Source organism: Homo sapiens, chromosome 3 (genome assembly GCF_000001405.40).
Source record: "Homo sapiens chromosome 3, GRCh38.p14 Primary Assembly".
Taxonomy (NCBI): Eukaryota; Metazoa; Chordata; class Mammalia; order Primates; family Hominidae; genus Homo; species Homo sapiens.
In genome coordinates this window covers 136,416,555-136,439,067 of record NC_000003.12, presented here as the reverse complement: position 1 = coordinate 136,439,067, position 22,513 = coordinate 136,416,555, and the positions used below count along the sequence as shown (strand labels likewise).

The following is a 22,513-nucleotide window of genomic DNA, read 5'->3' as shown; positions in this document are numbered from 1 at the left end:
CTCACCACCACACCTGGCTAATTTTTGTATTTTTAGTAGAGATCGGTTTCCCCATGTTGGCCAGGCTGGTCTCGAACTACTGACCTCAAGTGATCCGCCTGCCTTGGCCTCCCAAAGTGCTGGGATTACAGGAATGAGCCACCACACCTGGCTGAGAAACTTTAACTAGATAATCTTCTTTGGTTATTTCTAGTGCTAACATTCTGTAATCCAGTTGATGAATGAAGTAGCTGTAAATAATAAGATTCTTAAAAGCAGGAATTATTAATTCATTAATAATTTAAAAATATTTATTAACTATATGAGTCAAATATTATGCTAAGTGCTGAGCGTATAGTGTTATACTAGATGAGCTCACTGCCAATATGGAGCTTACATTCTCCTGAAGAAGGCAGACCAAAATTGAGTAAATATTCAAAATAATTTCAAGAGTTAATAAGTAGCTTTGGTGGATAATTATAGGGGATCTATCTTTAGACTGAATCCTGATGGAAGACCTTCCTGAGCAGGCCACCTGTGAGCCAAGAAACTAAATGATAAGGCAACCAGGCACGGTAGCTCATGCCTTTAATCCTAGCACTTTGGGGAGCCAAGGCGGGCGGATCACTTGTGGTTAGGAGTTCAAGACCAGCCTGGCCAGCATGGTGAAACCCCGTTTCTACTAAAAATCCAAAATGTTAGCTGAGTGTGGTGGCACGCGCCTTGTCATCCCAGCTACTCGGGAGACTGAGGCAGGAGAATCACAGGAACCCGGCAGGCAAGATCATGCCACTGCACTCCAGTCTGGGCAATAGAGCGAGACTCCATCTCAAAAAAAAAAAAAAAAAGAAAAGAAACTAAACGATAAGGGACCAGATATGGAAATTGTCATAAAAGAGCTATCTAGATAGAGGAAATAACAGTTTCAAAGTATCTGAAACATGAATGATGTTATGTTCTAGGAGATGCAATAGCTGGAACATAATGAGCCAATGATACAAGATGTAATAGAAGCAGAAATCAGATGATATAGAGCATTTTAGTTTATAAGTGAACTTATCTCATCCTAAATGTAATAAGATGCTTTTGAAGATTTTAAACAGGGGAATAATGTGATCCAATGCATATTTTAAGAAAAATCCCTTTCATAAACATTGTTTGGAAAAATACATAATCATTGCAGTGGTCTCTATGAGGAATGATGGTAAAAATATAAAAGAGGGAGATGGCTTATAAAGAGGGAAAGAGCCCATGGCTGAGTTAAAGATTGTGGATAGGGGATGAAAGCAGGAAGAGCAAGAAAGAATGAGAGTTCTACCTAACTATAAAAAGGATAAGAGATAATTATAACCTTTGCAAGCCCAGTAAAGAGGATGTTCAAGAGAGCCATAGTTAATAATATATATTGCAGAGGAGAAAAAAGACTACACAAATCATTTTGTGATGATTTAGGTCATTGGTGATTTTAAAGCATGATTCAATGATACCATATATATTCAGTGATACTAAAAGGGAGAAGCCAGAGTTCAAGGTGATAAGACTAAAATCAATAGTGAGGAAATGGAGATGCTGTGTAGAAACTTGTATAGTTATATGTTGTGTTAGGAAGTTCAAATGACAGTTTGTACCATGAACAGCTACCCATTTGTTTCAGTCAGTGTGGCTGTTTGGCTCTTGCCTGTGGCTTAAGGCTTGTTTGCTTTCAATTTTATTATGTAGTTTTGCTGTCATATCCCAAAAGGAATTTCAATTAAATTTCAACTGCTTTTGAGTTTACCTTATCTCCCCGTTCAGGGTAAGTTTCTAAGTGGATGGCTTCAAATGATAAAGTAACAAAATTGATGGAATTGAACACTGTGCAAGGTTGAGTTAAGCTTCAACACTACTGTGAATTTTACTCCCACTATAATGGGAGAATGTTTCTGTTCTTGAGATAAGTTGTTCTGTCCTTCCTCACTTTCCGTAAGACTGTGTTTTCTTCCTAAATAACAGACAATGCATTTAGTTCATGGGCAGCCTTGTACTTCCTTTAGCTCCAGCCAAATGTGAAAAATTATGAATTTCTGAAATCATAAAAATAGAACTTTAGTTGTTATTGAGCAAAAAGCTTTTTTTGTATTACTAGGCATTGGATCATTCGGATACAGATGGACAAGCTGATGTTTCATTTGTTTTTCCTAAGATAAGCTAAAGTTCATGTGTTTTTTTAAAAGACAATTGTTAAAACACTGAATTAAGATGTACATACATATTTTTACAAGATAATTTTGGTACAGAATAAAGAACAAGATGTTGTATCTTTTTTGCCTTTTCTTTGATTTTGCTCCAACTTAGTTTAAAATAATCAATGTAAACTTTTAAACCTTTGTAAATTAATTGAATTCTTAAATTTATACCTAGTTCTGTGTCTATAATACCTACATCTACTGGTCTTCAATATAAATAAGTATACAGAGGGAAGGAGAAAGAAAGAACTAAACTATTCGAATTATCAAAATCTGAGTTTAAGGCTGGGCACAGGGGCTCACACCTGTAATCTAGCACTTTGGGAGGCCGACGTGGGTGGATCACTTGAGCTCAGGAGTTCGAGACCAGCCAGGCCAACATGGTGAAACCCTGTCTCTACTAAAAGTACAAAAATTAGCTGGGCGTGGTGGTACATGCCTGTAATCCCAGCTACTCAGGAGGCTGAGGCAGGAGAATCACTTGAACCTAGGAGGCAGAGGTTGCAGTGAGCCGAGATCACGCCACTGTACTCCAGCCTGGGTGACAGAGTGAGACTCCACTTCCAAAAAAACCAAAAATATCTGAGTTTAAAAATATGTAAGAATGAGGCCAGGCGTGGTGGCTCATGCTTGGAATCTCAGCACTTTGAGAGGCTGAGGCCGGTGGATCACTTGAGGTCAGGAGTTTGAGACCAGCCTGGCCATCATGGTGAAACCCCGACTCTCCTAAAAATACAAAAATTAGCCGGGTGTGGTGGCACACCTGTAATCCCAGCTACTTAGGAGGCTGAAGCAGGAGAATCCTTTGAACCTGGGAGGCGGAGGTTGCAGTGAGCTGAGATCACGCCATTGCCTTCTGGCCTGGGCGATGGAGCAAGACTGTCTCAAAAAAAACAGGCTGGGTGCAGTGGCTCACACCTGTAATCCCCGTGCTTTGGTAGGCCAAGACGGGTGGATCACGAGGTCAGGGGTTCAAGACCAGCATGGCCAAGATGGTGAAACCCCGTCTCTACTAAAACTACAAAAATCAGCCAGGGGCGGTGGCAGCCACCTGTAATCCCAGCTACTAGGGAGGCTGAGGCAGGAGAATCACTGGAACCTGGGCGGCAGAGGTTGCAGTGAGCCAAGATAGCCTCACTGCACTCCAGCCTGGGTGACACGAGTGAAATGCCGTCTCAAAAAAAAAGAAAAAAAGAATTCGGGAAAGTATAGAATCTATGTGAAGGAAACCATAGTTTTAATTAAATGACTTAAGATCTCAAAACTGAAAAGCTATATTGTATTTCTAGCTGAAAATGTCATTTTTTTTAATGGTACTAGTCATAATTCCAGTGGGTTTGAGAGAGTTCTGGGAGATATGGTGAATACGAACTAACTAAGCAAAATGATTTTAAAGTTTATGTAGAATTCTAAGCTTATGCTGAAAAGACAGTATAGCGTAGTGCTTAAGAGAACTGACTCTGGGGTCAAACTACCTGAGTTCATATATTTGAATGCTCTACTGCTAGCTAAGTGCATTTTTCTGTGGCTCATTCTCCCTGTCTGTGAAGTGAGGATATTAGTTCCTATCTCTTAGAAATGTTTTGTGGATAAAACAAGTTATTACATATAAGCCACTTATGATCGTGCTTTAGATATAGAAAATTCTTAATAAATGAATTGCTATTAGCGTTATAGAAATTAAACAAAATTTTAGAAAAAGGGCTAGATAAGGGAAACTTGCTTATATATTCAAGTTGGTTGAATTAAGTTACATATTAAGTTATAACAAATTATGCCATAAGTCTAGTATAATCAAAGCAGTAAAGCATTGTCATAGAAATATACAAATAGATTAGTGAAACTAAAGAATCCAAAAATGCCTGAACCATGTTTAAAAATGACATTTAAATTAAAAAGGGAAATCTGGTTTAACAGTGGTGGAGACAACTGGCTATTTGGTGGGAATAAACAGACCCACCTACTATCATCAGAAATAAATGCCAAATAGGTTAAAAATACAAAAGTGAGCAAGCAAGAGAGACAGAAAAAGTGAAAGGAAGGAAGAGCAAAAGAGCAAGCAAGCACACGAGACAGCAAAAGATGAAATAAATTAGAAGAAAATGAAGAACATATTAGTGTAATCTGCAGGACAGAGAGATCTTTGAAGGCAATACAAGAAACCTGGAAGCCATAAAACAAAAGGAGACAGACGTGGCTTTTTAAAAATTAACAATTTCTGTCTGACAGAAGATACCATGAAGAGTCTGATAACAAATGACAAACTGGGAGAAAATACTTGCATCATTCAAAAGATAAAAAGTACTACCCCTACCATACAAGAGTTCTCAGATTGATAAGAAAGGTGAATAGTAGCACAAAAACAGGTGAAGAATAAACATAGACAAATCTTAGGGAAAAATAGAAAATATATTCCACTTAACTAATTAGTAGATAGGAAGGAGCAAAATAATAACCAAATACCCCTTTTCAACCATTGGACTGGCAAAAATTAAAATGGTTTATAACATCTAGTGTTCACAGGGATATAAGGAACCAAACATTCATAACATTGCAGTTGGGGATATAAATTATAATAAATAATCTTATGATTTCTCAATATCAAGGTCTTGCCATTTGAATCCATTATTTCTTCTTTGGAGAATTTATTGTACAGAAATAAATGTATCAGTTACATAAATATATATCTATTAATGATGTTTATTGAAGCATTGTTCAGTGTCAAAAATCAGGAAATTATTTGAATGACCATAAGTAGAAGGCTGACTGAATTATGGTACATACGTTAGATAGTAATTTATTAAGATAATTATTATGTGTGTATTGACTTGAAAAATATTGTCTGTTAAGTTTTTAAAAACATACGGCATAGTCTTTTTCATTAAAAAAGAAAAATTAGGAGTTTTGAAATTATGTAGAAGGAAACACTGTGAAATTTTAGAATTGCCTAACTTAGAAAGGTAGCATTAGAAGAGACCAGAGTTTATCCTCTTATTCTTTACTTTGTATCTCTTTCCTATTTGACTTATGACAGCAAGCACATAATTACTTTAAAAAAAAAAATAGCAAAGTACAGAGCTTAACTTTAGTCTTTAAAATAAGCAGTAATAGAATGTTTTCAGTTTTTTTAATAATGTGTTCATTTTTAATACATGGTTGTTGTAAAACTGTCTACTCATGCTCATGTATTTTGTTTTACCTTAGCAATGTCTGATCGTCAAGAGAGTGCTCTTATAGAGCTAATGGTTTGTACAATTCGTCAAGCTGCTGAGGCACATCCTCCAGTGGGAAGGGGTACCGGCAAGAGAGTAAGTTACATTAGTGAGAAATCTCCTAAAAGGTTTTTAATGGCAATTAACTGTCTTAAATATTTGGAAATTTTACTGATATTTGTATCCCTAAAAACATGGTGTTTTTATAAATGATGGACTATGGTGCTTCATCTTTATATCCTATATGCTATACTCAGGTTCCAAAAATAGATTCTTTCCTTCATGCTCCCATAGCACCTGTACCTGCTTCTGTTATTGTACTTACGTATTTTATATATATATATATTTTAAGGATTTTTACGTCTATTAAAAGTACATAAAGGCTCTGGAAGCAAAATGCCTAGTTTGCAAGTTCTTCTATTTAGCAGCTATATAATCTTTAGATAGATGAATGATTTTTGTATGTCTTAGTTTCCTTATCTGTAATATGGGACTAGTAATACAGGTATTTATATTAAAGATGAGTTCAGATAATCATAGATGGAGAGACTCCTGGCTCTGTTGGTTTGAAGAGGTAGGCAGATCTTTCTGCAAAAAGCAAGTATAAAACTGGAATGTATTGTCAAAAACATTACATCAGGGCTCTGGAAATTCACCAAAGATTAAAAAAAAAACACACATTGGGAAATATTTTTTCCTGAAAAATTGATAGAGCTTCAGGTAAAAGCAGCGGAAGTCTGTGGCCTTCTTGCCAATACACATGTACCCACATGCTTGGTCGATAAGATCTGTAGTTTGTTACCAGAGTGGCACTGCGTGCAAAAACCAGAAGCTTTGTTGTCAGAGAGAATGGATTAAGTGGCTCATGCCTGTAATCCTAGCACTTATGAGGCCTAGGTGGGGGATTACTTGAAGTCAGGAGTTCAAGACCAGCCTGGCCAACATAGTGAAACCCCGTCTCTACTAAAAATACAAAAATGAGCTGGGCAGGGTGGCATGCACCTGTAGTTCCAGCTACTCGAGAGGCTGAAGCAGGAGAATCACTTGAACCCAGAGGCAGAGGTTGCAGGGAGCCCAGATCATGCCACTGCTCTCCAGCCTGGGTGACAGAGCAAGACTCTGTGCCCCCCCCCCCCCAAAAAAAAAGAAAACAAAAATTAAAATCTTTAGTTACTGTATTATTCAAAAATGTCTACTTTCAAGAAAAACTACAGCCATGCAAAGAAACAGTAAAATGTGACCATACTCAGGAAAAAAAGCAGACAATAGAAATGGCTTCTCAGTAGGGCTATATGTTGGATTTAGCAGGCAAAGACTTCAGAGGCCTTTTAATAAGTATATTCAAAGAATTACAGGAAAATATGAAAACAAGAAGTAGAGAATCTCAATAATGAAAACCCAAATGGAATTTCTGGTGAGAAGTACAATGCACAAATTTAAAATTAACTGAGTAAGTTAATTAGCAGATTTAAGATGATGAAAGAGACAATAGAAAAACATGAAGATTAATAGAAATTATCCATTCTGAAGAACAGAGAAGAAAAAAGATTGAAGAAATACTATCAGAGCCTCAGAAATGTGTGGAACCACCATCATGTGCACTGAAATATGTATAATGGGAATCCCAGAAGGAAAGGAGAGAGGAATAGAGGCAGAAAAAATATTTGAAGAAATAATCACTGAAAACCTCCCAAATTTGATGAGAGACAATTTGCAGATTCAAGAAGCTTAACAAAATCCAAATAAAATAAACACAAAAGTTCCACATATAGACACAACATAGTCACATTGTTAAAAGACAAAGACAAAAAATCTTGAAAGCAACAAGAGATCAACAACTAATGTAGAGGGCAGTAGCAATAGTATTAACAGTTAGCTTATCAGAAATAGTGGAGTCCAGAAGACAGTGGAATGACATATTCAGTGAAAGTCAACAAAATGGCCAACCAAGAATTACAAATTTAATAAGATTATCTTCCAAAGATGAAGGTGTAAAAAACCATTACCAGAGAAACAAAAAGGAAAAATTTGGAGAATGTGTTGCTAGATCTCCCATACCAGAAATGCTAAAAGAAGTCCTTCAGCCAGGCACAGTGGTTCACGCCTGTAATCCCAGCACTTTGGGAGGCTGAGGCAGGTGGATCACAAGGTCAGGAGTTCGACTCCAGCCTGGCCAACATGGGAAACCCTATCTCTACTAAAAATACAAAAATTAGCCAGGCATGGTGGCATACGCTTGTAGTCCCAGCCACTCGGAAGGCTGAGGCAGGAGAATCTCTTGAACCCGGGAGGCAGAGGTTGTGGTGAGCCAAGATCGTGCCACTGCACTCCAGCCTGGGCAACAGAGTGAGACTGTGACTCAAAAAAAAAGAAAAGTCCTTCAAGCCATAAGGAATATCATAAGGTGATAAAACAAATCCACAAGAAGGAATGAAAAAAGAAGGAATGGGCTGGGTGCAGTGGCTCACTCCTGCAGTCCTGTCACTTTGGGAGGCCAAGGCAGGTGGATTACCTAAGGTCAGGAGTTCAAGACCAGCCTGGCCAACATGGCGAAACCCCATCTCTACTAAAATTACAAAAATTAGCTGGGCATGGTGGCACATGCCTGTAATCCCAGCTACTCGAGAGGCTGAGGCAGGAGAATTGCTTGAACCCAGAAGGCAGAAGTTTCAGTGAGCTGAGATCACCCCACTGCACTCTAGCCTGGGTGACAGAGTAAGACTCTGTCTCCAAAAAAAAAAAGGAAGAATGTAAATCTGAAATGGTAAGTATGTGAGTGGATATAAAAGGTAAAAGGCTGTGTGTGTGTGTGTGTGTGTGTGTGTGTGTGTGTGTGTGTGTGTGTCTGTCTATGTCTGTTTCCTTCTCTTAATTTCCTTGAAAGAACATGAAATTATTTAAATCAAGCTTGTCCAACCTGTGGCCTGCAGGCTGCATGTGGCCCAGGACAGCTTTGAATGCAGCCCAACACAAATTTTTAAACTTAAAACACTATGAGATATTTTCGCTTTTTTTTTTTTTTTTTAAGCTCTTCAGCTATCGTTAGTGGTAGTGTATTTTATGTGTAGCCCCAGACAATTGTTCTTCCATTGTGGCCCAGGGAAGCCAAAAAATTGGATACCCCTGATTTAAGTAGATAATTATAGCACTATAGTGTTGAGATTATAACATAAATATATGTGACAAGAGTAACACAAAAGGGAAAAAGATATGGAACTATATTGGAGCAAAATTGCTATGTTTTATTATAATTAATTCAATATCAACCTGAAGTCAGTTACAAGTTAAAAATGTATATTATAATCCCTACAGTAATCATTCATATTTAAAAATAAAAACAGAGGAATTATAGTGGTCCTCATCTGCTAGAGACATATGCTGAAATATTTAAGGGTGAAATTATATACCGTTTACCCTTGAACAATGCAGGGGTTAGTGGCACTGACCTGCACAGTCAAAAATCCATGTGTGCTCACTTCGGCAGCAGATATACTGAATTTGGATCAATATAGAGAAGATGAGCATGGCCCCTTTGCAAGGATGACATGCAAATTTATGAAATATTTTTATGAATCTTAAAATTTAAAAAATTCACGTGTAACTTTTGATTCCCCCAGAACTTAACTACTATAGCCTACCAATAACCTAAATGATCAGAAGCCTTAAAGCTGTTAACACAAACAATGGATTAACACATTTTGTATGTAATATGTATTATACACTGTATTCTTGCAATAAATTAAGCTAGAGGAGAAAAAAGTTTTTAAGAAAATCAGAAGGAAGAGAAAATATATTTACTATTTATTAACTGGATCAACATAAAAGTCTTCATCCTTGACATGTTGACATTGAGTACACTGGGGAGGAGGAAGAGGGTTTTTGTCTTGCTGTCTCCAGTGGCAGAAGCAGAAGAGATGGAGAAGGAAGGAGAGGCAGGTACACTCACTGTAACTTTACAGAAATACATTGTAATTTCTGTCTTTTTGCTTTTTCATTCTGTGTGATACCAATCCTCCTTCCACTATTTGCTTTAATTTCAGTGCCCACGTAATACAAGGGTCTGTGTCACCAAAGAAGCAAAAGCAGTCTTAAATAATTGGAACTCTTCTGCCAAATTATCTAATGTTGATTTAGGCACCCCTTCTTCAGCATTTTCTTCCTCATCATCTGGTACCAGTTCAGAAGCACTCATCTCCATCAAGTCATCCTCTATTAGTTCCTCTGGTGTAGTCTTTTTTGTTTTTGAGACAGAGTTTCGCTCTTGTCATCCAGGCTGGAGTGCAGTGGCGTGATCTGGGCTCACTGCAACCTCCACCTCCCGGGTTCAAGCGATTCTCCTGCCTCAGACTCCCAAGTACCAGGGATTACATGCACCCGCCACCAGGGCCAGCTAGTTTTTGTATTTTTAGTAGACACAGGGTTTCGCCACGTTGGCCAGGCTGGTCTCGAACTCCTGACTTCAGGTCATCCACCCGTTTCGGCCTCCCAAAGTGCTGGGATTACAGGTGTGAGCCACCTCTCCCAGCCTGCGCTCTGTTCCAGGCTGGAGTGCAATGATGCTATCTGGGCTTACTGCAACCTCTGCCTCATGGGTTCAAGTAATTCTCCTGCCTCAGCCTCCCGAGTGGCTGGGTTTTACAGGCCTGTGCCACCACGCCTAGCTAGTTTTCTGTATTTTTAGTAGATACGGGGTTTCACCATGTTGGCCAGGCTGGTCTCGAATTCCTTTCCTCAGGTGATTCTCCCACCTTGGCATCCCACAGTGCGGGGATTACAGACGTGAGCCCTCATTCCTGGCTGGTGTCTATTTGCTCTCTAATTTCTCTAAGATCTATATGTTGAAGTCTTTCATTCCCCACATTTTATACTATAACCACAATCTCTTTGATGATTTTCTTGATTGGTTCTGTCATAAGTTCTGTGAAATCGTACATAACATCTGGACACAGTTTTCTCCAACAGGTATTTATTTTGGGGGGCTTGATGGCTTTAGAACAACAATGGCATTTTCAGTGGTGTAATTCTTCCAGACTTCCATCATATTCTATCAGGGTTCTCTTCAATAGTGTTGACAGCCCTTTCCATTGAGTACTATGTTTAATGACCTTTAAGGGTTCTATGGACCCCTGATCTGTAGGCTGATTTAGAGATACTGTGTTTAGGAGCAAGTAGACCATTTTGATGCCTGTGGTGTTGAACTTACTGGGTTCTGGTTGGTCAGGGGCATTGTCCGTTATCAGAAGAACTTTAAAAGGCAATCCCTTACTGGCAAGGTACTTCCTGGCTTCAGGGACTTTACAGCGTCAGTGTAAACCAATCCAGAAAAGGGGTCCTTGTTGTCCAGGCCTTCTTGTTAGACATTACTGGCAAAAAAAGACAGGCAGCTGATGTTTATCTTTTCCCTTCAAGGCTTTTGAGAGTTAGCAGCTTTACAGATAAGGGCAGTCCTGATCATAAACCCAGCTTCATTTGCACAAATGAGTAGATTAGTGTATTTCTTCTTGCTTTAAAGTGGTACTCACCTCTCTTCCTTACTAATAAGTGTCCTTTGTGGCATTTTTTTTTTTTTTCCAGAATAGGGCACTGTGATCTGCATTAAAAACCTTTGCAGGCAGATATCCTTTTCTTCAGTGATTTTCTTAATGGCGTCTTGGAGAGTGGTCAGCTGCCTCTTGGTCAGCAGAAACAGTTTTTCCTCTTCTCTTGACATTTTTAAAGTGAAACCTCTTTCTAAAATTATCAAACTATCCTTTGCTGGCTTTAAATTCTCAGCTTTGTAACCTTCACATTCCTTTGGCTTTAAGTTGTTATTATATGACTTCACTTTTTTAAAATCATATGAGTATAGGTGTGCCTTTTTTATAGCAATTCTGCACCCATATATAAGCTGTACTTCTAATGTGAAATAAAAAGGTATTTTGCAAAAGGTACAGTGGTTTTTGCACCTGCTAGTATAGCAGTAATGGCTTTAAGAATTTTTTTTTTTTTTTTTTACAATGGTCCTTATACCAGATTCATTTATCTTGAAATGGTGGGCAACTGTAGCTGCAGACATATCAAGCAATTTAATTTTTTTCTTTAAATTTTTTCTTGTAATAACTTTTCTCTGCTTCTTGGGAACACTTCCAGCATCACTAGTAGCACATATGGGTCCCATAATGTTATTCAAGGTTTATGGTATGGCACTAAACATGGTAAGTGAGAACCACAAGATCACTTTTGACTATGATACACAATTCACTGGAGAGACCAACTGTTCATGCAAAGATGATTAGTGTCATGGGGCTTTTTTAGTGAATACTTGGCAATACTTGAGCTCACTGCAATAGCAACAGTAGATGTGTACAATATTATTGTAGTAGAATGTGTGCTAAAGTTAATTCTGTACAGTTATGATTAATACTATATCTTTTTTTTTTTTTTGAGTTGGAGTCTCGCTCTGTTGCCCAGGCAGGAGTGCAGTAGTGTGATCTCGGCTCACTTCAACATCTGCCTCCCGGGTTCAAGCGATTCTCCTGCCTCAGCTTCCTGAGCAGCTGGGATTACATGCGCTTGCCACCACATCCCACTAATTTTTTTTTTTTTTTTTTTAAGAGACGAGTCTCGCTCTGTCGCCCAGGCTGGAGTGCGGTGGCGCGATCTCGGCTCACTGCAAGCTGCGCCTCCTGGGTTCATGCCATTCTCCTGCCTCAGCCTCACAAGTAACTGTGACTACAGGCGCCACACCTGGCTAATTTTTGTATTTTTAGTAGAGGCAGGGTTTCACCGTGTTAGCCAGGATGGTCTCGATCTCCTGACCTCATGATCCACCCACCTCGGCCTCCCAAAGTGCTGGGATTACATGCGTGAGCCACCACGCTCAGCCGGTATTTTTTAGTAGAGATGGGGTTTCATTATGTTGGCCAAACTGCTCTTGAACTCCTGATGTCTAGTGATCTGTCTGTCTCAGCCTCCCAAAGTTCTGGGATTACAGGCGTGAGCCACCATTCCTAGCCACGATACTGTATCTTTATTCACATTGCTGTCATGTGCGAATGGTGCCATGTACAATCTGTAAGTGTGTGTGTGAGTTTTGATAAATTTTAAGTTCTTACAATAGATTCATATATATTTAATAGTAGTGAATGTTAAATATCTACATATATTTTATACATCATGATGAGTCTAAATTTGCTTTTGTTTTCCAATATTTCTAGGCTACATGGCTTGTCTGCAAGTTTTATTGTTTGTTTGTTTGTTTTTGAGACGGAGTCTCGCTATTGCCCAGGCTGGAGTGCAGTGGCGCGATCTCGGCTCACTGCAGGCTCCGCCCCCTGGGGGTTCACGCCATTCTCTTGCCTCAGCCTCCAGAGTAGCTGGGACTACAGGCACCTGCCACCTCACGCAGCTAATTTTTTTTTGTATTTTTAGTAGAGACGGGGTTTCACTGTGTTAGCCAGGATGGTCTCGATCTCCTGACCTCGTGATCTGCCCGCCTCGGCCTCCCAAAGTGCTGGGATTACAGGCATGAGCCACCGCGCCCGGCCACAAGTTTTTTTTTTTTAATTGTTGCAAATCTCCAAAAAATTTTCCAATATGTTTATTGAAAAAAATCTGCATATAAATGAACCATGTAGTTCCAAACTATGTTGTTCAAGGGACAAATGTACAAGGATTTCCCCTAAAATGCCATAGAAAAAAAAAACTGAGAGATAATTAATGAAACAAGAATGACAGTGCTAATGGTTATTGTTCTGCTTTTGAGTGTTTCTGAAATTTTCCTTAATAGTCTTTAAAGTATATGCTATCCCAACTTTGACTAGTGATAAGCCCCTTCATACTAATTTCTTGTCCTTTTCACATATCTTATTTTTTAATTACTTTCTTGCACTTTTCACATATCTTCTTCTTTTATAGATATATATGTATATGTATATATGTTTATATATATACATATATATAAACATACATACATACATACACACACATACACGTATTTAAATCATACATTCATATTGGTATTTGACCTAAATTTAGCCTAATAGAGTTTTTACCTCTTTGAATTTATGAGTTTTTTTCCCAAACTTATTTTTTTGAAATAGGTAAAACATTTACATTAGTTAAAAAGTCAAAACCATGTGAAAAGATATAGTCAGAGAAATCTTATTTATATAACTTTCTCTACACCTCATTCTTATTAGTAACCATTTTTATTTGTTTCTGGTTTATTCTTCAGGTGTTTCATTTTGCACAAATAGGTAAAGGCATGTACACATACAGATATATATATTCATATTTCACATTCCACCCACTCACCCCCCAATCTTTTACCAAAGATACTATACTTTATATACTATTCTGTACCTTTCTTTTTTTAGCAGTGTATCCTGGAAATCAGTCCATGTCTTTATTTGGAGGTCTTCATTTTCTTCTGGCTGTATAGTGTCTATTAGGTGGATGCACTACTGAAAGTTCACCTACGCACAGTCTTTTGTACTGTTGCTAGTCTTTTGCTACTAGAAATAATGAATAATCAGCTGGGCATGGTGGCTCATGCCTGTAAACCCAACACTTTGGGAGGCCGGGGCGGGCAGATCACGAGGTCGGGAGATCGAGATCATCCTGGCCAACATGATGAAACCCCATCTCTACTAAAAATACAAAAATTAGCTAGGTGTGGTGGTGCGTGCCTGTAATCCCAGCTACTCAGAAGGCTGAGGCAGGAGAATCTCTTGAACCAGGGAGTCAGAGGTTGCGGTGAGCCGAGATTGCACCACTGCACTCTAGCCTGGCGACAGAGTGAGACTCCATCAAAAAAGAAATAATGAATAATCTTATGCATATCTCATTACTTGTACCAGGTGTGTTGGTGAGATAGAATTGGTATTGCTAGGTCAAAGGAAAAATATATATACAATTTTGTTAGATATTGGCAAATTCCTTCTTCATAGGTATCATGCCATTTTTGTTATCCCCTCAGAGGTATTTTGAGGACTAGATGAGTTCATGTATGTAGAGTGCCTAACAAAATGACCACTCAGGCTGGGCGCAGTGGCTCACACCTGTAATTCCAGCACTTTGGGAGGCCAAGGTGGGCGGATCACTTGCGGTCAGGAGTTGGACCAGCCTGGCCAATATGGTGAAAACCCGTCTCTACCAAAAATACAAAACTTAGCCCGACTTAGTGGTACGCACCTGTAGTCCCAGCTACTTGGGAGGCTGAGGCAGGAGAATCGCTCAAACCCAGGAAGCAAAGCGGAGGTTGCAGTGAGCCAATATCGCGCCATTGCACTCCAGCCTGGGTGTCACAACAAGACTTCGTCTCAAAAAAAAAAAAAAAAAAAGATCGTTCCATCAAAAATAGCCATTTCCCTAAAATCAGTATCCTTAGATGTTTCATACATTGTCAAATGAATTTCAAGACTTTTCAATGTATTGAATACATTCCTAGACATACATGTAGTTCCCTTAATTGCTTTGTGCAGAGGTAAACACAGTAGTTGGTAGATCATTCAAAAGTGATTATTTTATATGCTTAAAAGATTGAACAACAAGGCCGGGCGTGGTGGATCACTTGAGGTCAGGAGTTTGAGACCAGCCTCGTCAACGTGGTGAAACCCCATCTCTACAAAAATACAAAAATTAGCCATGCATGGTAGGACATACCCATAGTCCCAGCTACTCAGGAGGCTGATGCAGGAGAATCACTAGAACCCAGGAGGCAGAGGTTGCAGGGAGCCGAGATCGTGCCACTGCACTCCAGCCTGGGTGACAGAGCAAGACTCTGTCTCAAAAATAAAAAAAAATAAAAAAAAAAAAGACTGAACAATCAAATAGGCAGTGCTATTACTTCTTGCACATATTCTTAAACATTGAGGTTCACATTTATGAAGTGGCAATTTATATTGGAATGTTTCTGTTCCGTAAAACCATTTGACATTATGATGGCAAATCCCTTCAAGATAATAAAATGCAGAATACTTAGGGGAAATGATTATGTTAAACTGAACTTACATTTTAATATTTTATTTTTGGAATCACCTGTGGTTTCACATGTTGGATACAGGCTAAAGTGATGAGCATTAGCAGCTTAAATTTGTTCCATGAGCACAAACTATACTCTTTTTTCTTGATAGCTGTTTAACAGATTTGTGAGTTTAGTTACAAGGAGACTCAAATGTAAATGAATCCAGAGATATTATTAGTGTGTGCTTTAAAAATAAGTGAGAATGTGTTAGCTTCTGTTGGTATTTAAAAGGCGTTACTTTAAAAAGTGTGTGTATATTTAACATAGGAAGATCACTGTTAACACACTGAGATTAAAACCCTAGAAAAATTGGGTATTGATTGGTTTCAGTATTTTAATAATGGTAACTATGGTTTTATTAATATGTATATATTTTTATTTGACATAAACAAATAGTAATTCGCCCAGACTTTAGCTGTTTGATAAGGTAGTAGTGCATGTTATGTAAAAATTTGCATAAACTTTCTTGTGTTTATTTCAGTCATTAAGTTTCTCTTAAAATTTGTGGTTATATTATTTGCCAGTGCTTCATCAATATATGTAACAGTTTGGATTTATAATTTAACACAATACTCTTCTTCTTTTCCGATTTTGTTTCTAGGTGCTAACTGCCAAAGAAAGGAAAACTCAAATTGATGATAGAAACAAATTGACTGAACATTTTATTATTACACTTCCTATGTTACTGTCAAAGGTACAGTTTCATTTACAGTTTTGTTATGTCACTGAGTTTGCTTTCATTGTACTATTAAAGTAGTTACTGTCTTTTTCTTTGCTTCTCCTTCTAGTATTCTGCAGATGCAGAGAAGGTAGCAAACTTGCTACAAATCCCACAGTATTTTGATTTAGAAATCTACAGCACAGGTAGAATGGAAAAGGTAATGATATTATGAAATTGAAATTCAGCTGTTATAGTTTTATTAACTGAATTATTTTCATGTACTCTTATAGACTTGTTATTTGACAGATGCTAATTTTTTATTTTTTATTGTTAACCTAAATATTACAGTTTTTCTTTTTTTGTCTCCTCAGCATCTGGATGCTTTATTAAAACAGATTAAGTTTGTTGTGGAGAAACACGTAGAATCAGATGTTCTAGAAGCCTGCAGTAAAACCTATAGTATCTTATGCAGTGAAGAATATACCATCCAGAACAGAGTTGACATAGCTCGAAGCCAGCTGATTGATGAGTTTGTAGATCGATTCAATCATTCTGTGGAAGACCTATTGCAAGAGGTCTGTTCTAAAGTTAATGTGTACATATAATAATATTGACTGAGAATTACTTAAGATAGCTGAGTGTGTAAATCATTTTCATTTTAAAATGAAATTGAGTAGAATTGTCTGCCCCTTCCAAAACTTAGCAACCTTATTACAATTGTGTATTCTATAAAGATCAGCCTTGGTTATGCCTTATTTTTATTCTAAAAATCTGTCATAAAAACTAGAATTTCTTTTCTCTTTCAAGAAATTTTTTTTTTTTTTTTTTTTTGAGGCAGAGTCTTGCTTTGTCACCCAGGCTAGAGTGCAGTGGCACGATCTCAGTTCGTTGCTCACCGCAACCTCCGCCTCCCAGGTTCAAGTGATTCTCCTGCCTCAGCCTCTTGAGTAGCTGGGATTACAGGCACCTGTCACCACGCTTGGCTGTTTTTTTATTTTTAGTAGAAATGGGTTTTCACCATATTGACCAGGCTGGTGAACTCCTGATCTCAAGTGATCCGCCCACCTCAGCCTCCCAAAGTGCTGGGATTACAGGCATGAGCCACCACATCGGGCAAAAAAATCTCTTTAAAGTCTAATTTTTCCTAACTCATTTTCTATTTCTGGGACCTAATTTACATTTTAATATTGCTGAATTATTGTGATATGCTAATGAATAGAGCGTACAAATTAAGTCTACTTTTAAGGATGCCTGCTTATCAATGGTATGCCCAAGATATCAGCAAACATCTCCAATTGCTTATTTTCTAATTATTTCTGTGACTTCTTCCTCTTTCCCTCTCTCTCATCAATCTATATAAGGCAGTCTGGAATTTCCATAGTTCTCTGTGCTCTGATGACCATGTAACTGATTTATAAAAGACTCTTTCCTACTATTGAAACTTACCAGTTTTTTTCAACCATTATTTATGATTTTCCTTGTGATTTTCAAGCTACAAAAGTGACTGACAATAAATAAAATATTGGAAATCATTGAAAATCTTTCAAGTACATTTTTCTCTTAGAAATTTTAAAGGGTTTTATCTATAGTATCAGAAAACTTTTCAAAGTCATGTTTATCACAACATTATTTAAAATGCAGAAATTATTTCTAGGTTGTTAGAGTTATGGGTGTTTTTGCCTTTTTGCTTATTTGTATTATGGATCTACAATGAATATATACTATTAATATAATTTAGAAGAATTTTTATTTAGGCAATAAGTAGTAATATACTATAAGGTGAGTAAAGTTGTAATGATGTGATGTTTCCTTTTTTTATAGGGAGAAGAAGCTGATGATGATGACATTTACAATGTTCTTTCTACATTAAAGCGGTTAACTTCTTTTCACAAGTACGTTATTTTATTTAAAGTAAAGGCAACGAGGTGGCTCATGCCTGTAACCCCAACACTTTGAGAGGCCGAGATGGGCAGATTGCTTGAGGCCATGAATTGGAGACCAGCCTGGCGAAACCCTGTCTGTACAAAAAATACAAAAATTGGGCATGAGAGTGTCCACCTGTGGTCCCAGCTACTCAGGAGGCTGAGGCAGGAGAAGCAGGAGAATCGCTTGAACCCAGGAGGTGGGGGTTGTCGTGAGCCGAGATCGTGCCTCTGCACTCTAGCCTGGGCAACAGGCTGTCTCAAAAAATAAATAAATCAAGTAAATGTAGTAACCCAGGTGTGTAAGCACACAGCTATGGTCCCAGCCACTTGGGAGGTTGAGGAAGGAAGATCACTTGAGCCCAGGAGTTCAAGGCTGCACTTGATCATGACACTGGCCCATGATCGTACCTGTGAATAGCCACTGCACTTCAGCATGGGCAGTATAGTGAGATCTGATCTCAGTAACAACAAAAAGATAAAATAGATTTAGTGAATGACATGTAACAGCCAACATACACTGACTGATTGTTGTGTTTGACATTAATAACAATGGGAATTTTAGGCCTGGTGTGATGACTCACACCTTATAATCCCAGCACTTTGGGAAGCCAAGGGAGGTGGATTGCTTGAGCCCCACGAGTTTGAGACCAGCCTGGGCAATAGGCAGACCCTATCTCAATTAAAACAAAATAGTTGTTTTTTAAAAAATGGGAATTTTAGAGAATATTGAGATATGTTTTTCCTTTATTCAGTTTTCTCTAGATGATTATGTTTTGCTATCACTGAATTACTTTTTTTTTTTTTTTTTTTTTTTTGACAGAGTCTCACTCTGTCGCCCAGACTGGAATGTAGTGGCCCGATCTCGGCTCACTGCAACTGCCGCCTTCCAGGCTTAAGTGATTCTTATGCCTTAGCCTCTCGAGTAGCTGGGACCACAGGTGTACACCACCTTGCTCAGCTAATTTTTATATTTTTAATAGAGATGGTTTCACCATGTTGGCCAGGCTGGTCTTGAACTCCTGACCTCAAGCAATCCACTGGCACTCGGCCTCCCAAAGTGCTGGGATTACAGACGTGAGTCACTGTGCCTGGCCTATCATTTAATTACTTAAGGTATAAAATTTATTTACTGTAATGATTTAGCTATCACTTAATGTAATGAATATATACTGTAAAAGTTTCAGCCCATGAGTATTTAACAAATTAGGCTTATTTTATCACTAGAGTGCTACAGGTATAATTTTCAAATGATAGCTTTTAGAAATCTTGCTCTTAATAAGTAAGAAATAAGATTTGGGACCAGGCATGGTGGCTTATGCCTGTAATCTCAGCACTTTGGGAGGTTGAGATAGGTGGATCACTTGAGCCCAGGGGTTCAAGACCAGCCTGGCCAAGATGGCAAAACCCCATCTCTGCTAAAAAAAAAAAAAAAAAAACACACACAAAAATTAGCCGGGCATGGTGGCACACGCCTGTATTCCCAGCTACTCTTGGGGCTATGGCACGAGAATCGCTTGAACCCAGGAGGCAGAGATTGTAGAGAGCCAAGATTACACCACTGCACCTCAGGGCAACAGAGCAAGACTCTCTCTTTAAAAAAAAAAGGCTGGGTGCGGTGGCTGAAATTTGTGTTGTCAAATTGTAATTTTCACTTGCATTGTAATGAGATATGCCGGTCTTCTCCATGAAGAAAGGACAAAAAGAACTTTGTTGTCCAAAGAGAGTTTGAATATAGCTTTTGCACTAATCAGTACTTCAAAATTCAAAAGCAGTTTCCAAAATCTAAGCCTTTATATACAAGTAAATTTTTTTTAGAATTCCCTAGAAAAGCAAACTTTTATTTTTTTAAAAAACTGTCATTTGAAAACAGAAGTTACTAGTGTCAGAATGACTATTTTTAGTAGTAGAGCCCATGAGAATATAAAAATTTACCATTATCACATTCATAAGTCCTCAGCCCAAGTAAATAGCTATAATGCAGTTTTTGAGCTTTCCCATTTTTCCTTTCCCCGAGTTTTATCTTTATCTCCATTTTGAAAATACAAATCTCTTTTAAAAATACACATGTGGTTATATTTTTAAATTGTAAATGGAGTTCTTTAAAATGTACTTTTAAATAGGCCTGACGCGGTGGCTCACACCTATAATCCCAGCACTTTGGGACACCATGGCGGGTGGATCTCTTGAGTCCAGGAGTTCAAGACCAGCCTGGCCAACATAGTGAAACCCCATGTCTACAAAAATACAAAAATCAGCCAGGTGTCATGGCGCACACCTGTAGTCCCAGCTACTCAGGAGGCTGAGGCATGAGAATCTCTTGAACCCGGGAGGCGGAGGTTGCAGTGAGCCAAGATCTTGCCACTTCACTTCAGCCTGGGCGACGGAGCGAGACCCTGTCTTTTAAAAAAAAAAAATACTATTATATATACAATAAAGGGATTTTATCCATATATGGAATAGAATATAAGCTTAGCTTGACCATGTGGTAGAAATTTTCAATTAAATATGTCAGGTTTTATTTTTTTGTTGATTTCTTTAATAAATTCATAGAATCATCTCTTTCTTTCCTTTTCCTTTCTACCTTTCTTTCAAATTTGAGCATTTAATGAGTATTTCCTTTATGGATCTTTTTCAATTCTGCAAGGAAATGAAAAAAACCTTTTTTTTTTTTTTTTTTTTTTTTTTTTTTTTTTTTTTTTGGAGACAGAGTCTTGCTCAGTTACCCAGGCTGGAGTGCAGTGGCGCAATCTTGGCTCACTGCAACCTCCGTGTCCTGGGTTCAAGTGATTCTCCTGCCTCAGCCTCCCGAGTAGCTGGGACTACAGTCATGCGCCACCATGCCCAGCTAATTTTTTTGTGTGTATTTTTAATAGAGACAGGGTTTCACCATGTTGGCCAGGCTGGTCTCGAACTCCTGACCTCAAGTGATTTGCCAGCCGCGGCCTTCCAGAGTGCTGGGATTACAGGCGTGAGCCAGTGTGCCCAGCCGAAATGAAATTATTTTATTCTTCCACTCACCTGAACTGAGCTCAAATTTAAATTTCCTTCCATTCTAGAATAAAACAGATGCATTTTTGTTTATTTCAGTGCACATGATCTCACAAAATGGGATCTCTTTGGTAATTGCTACAGATTATTGAAGACTGGAATTGAACATGGAGCCATGCCAGAACAGGTAGGAGTTTATTGGTATTCCTTCTGTATGACTCTAGAAAGTTGTTTTTCTGAAGTCATATGATTATCAGAAGCCTTTTATAGAAAGTAATTGACGATTCATTAGGGCAGCTGCCTCTTTTGAGAGAATTATTGCTGTAGTAATTAAATGTTATTGATAGGTGTATTATACTGGCTTATGTGTTAAGAGTAGAAAAAACTTTTGCTATAACATATCTTAAAAATTTTACTGTTAAGGTAGACTTTTCTCTATTAGGAGAAATACCATTAATATCTATGGCAGCAATTTTAAAACTTTGGATAATGAAAATTGATGATGGGTATATTCCAGCCGTGTTCTAGGTATTAATCATATTAAGTATGGCTTAGTTTTTATATTAGAACCATAGTTAAATTAACATGGCAGCCTTTAATAGACTTTAGAACTTTGTACACTCATATATACAAGTTAGAGTAGAAGGGGCAGAAATTCAACAAACTTTGCCTAATCTGAAAGAGACTTCAGTAGAATAATTACTCTACTTGATTCAGTATGAGAAAGGAAGGAGTTATTTTGTACACTGCAGATATTCATGTAGACCAAAATATCATCTCCATCATTAAGTGTAGGTAATATTTAGGGGTTATCTCATTCATTTCCATTTGGTAGTATAGAATGCTTAGATGATACCTTATTACTCTAAAGCAGTAAGAATTTCAACAGATACAATAATAATCTTATATTAAAAATTAATCATGGGCTGGGCACAGTGGTTCACGCCTATAATTCCAGCCTTTTGGGAAGCCAAGGCAGGGTGGATCACCTGAGGTCAGAAGTTCGAGACCAGCCTGGCCAACATGGTGAAACCCCATCTCTACTAAAAATAAAAAAATTAGCCAGATGCAGTGGCATGCGCCTGTAGTCCCCAGCTACTTGGGAGGCTGAGGCTGGAGAATCGCTTGAACCTGGGAGACGGAGGTTGGAGTGAGCCAAGATGGTGCCACTGCACTTCAGCCTTGGTGACAGAGTGAGACTCTGTCTCAAAAAAAAAAAAAAAAAAAGTTAATTATGAAAACAGTACTTTATTATTGCTGTGATTAATTCATTTAAATTGCCTAACATTAGTCATTTTCTTGGTCCCTACAAATGTCCCTGATTATATTAGGTGTTTTTATTGTAGTTTGTGAAAAGACACTAAATATTTTACCCTCTCTTTTTTAAAATGTATTGCTGACATCAACTTCCCATCCTCTCTTCATCTCAGACCAGCAACCTAAATAAAATTCACTCATATTTTCAAGCCATGCTTCTAAGTTGAAAGTGAATGAGAGAGTTAAGATATTCTTTTTAT

The 22,513-nt window shown here is 38.0% G+C and overlaps 1 protein-coding gene and 1 pseudogene across 8 annotated transcripts in view; both read left to right on the top strand.

Annotated features, from left to right (window-relative positions):
* The window catches only part of STAG1 (STAG1 cohesin complex component), a 416,143-nt gene that overhangs the window by 313,311 nt on the left and 80,319 nt on the right, over positions 1-22,513 (top strand). For all 8 annotated transcript variants that reach the window (XR_001739978.2, NM_005862.3, XM_047447229.1 and 5 more), the window contains 6 exons: positions 5,409-5,512; positions 16,024-16,116; positions 16,211-16,300; positions 16,455-16,658; positions 17,905-17,975; positions 21,096-21,183. Coding sequence is in view for 7 of the 8 variants with exons in the window: in NM_005862.3 (NP_005853.2) it covers positions 5,409-5,512; positions 16,024-16,116; positions 16,211-16,300; positions 16,455-16,658; positions 17,905-17,975; positions 21,096-21,183 (650 nt within the window). In the remaining variant the exon portion in view is untranslated. The remainder of the gene's footprint in view (positions 1-5,408; positions 5,513-16,023; positions 16,117-16,210; positions 16,301-16,454; positions 16,659-17,904; positions 17,976-21,095; positions 21,184-22,513) is intronic.
* On the top strand, positions 8,885-8,984 carry RNU6-1284P (RNA, U6 small nuclear 1284, pseudogene; annotated as a pseudogene).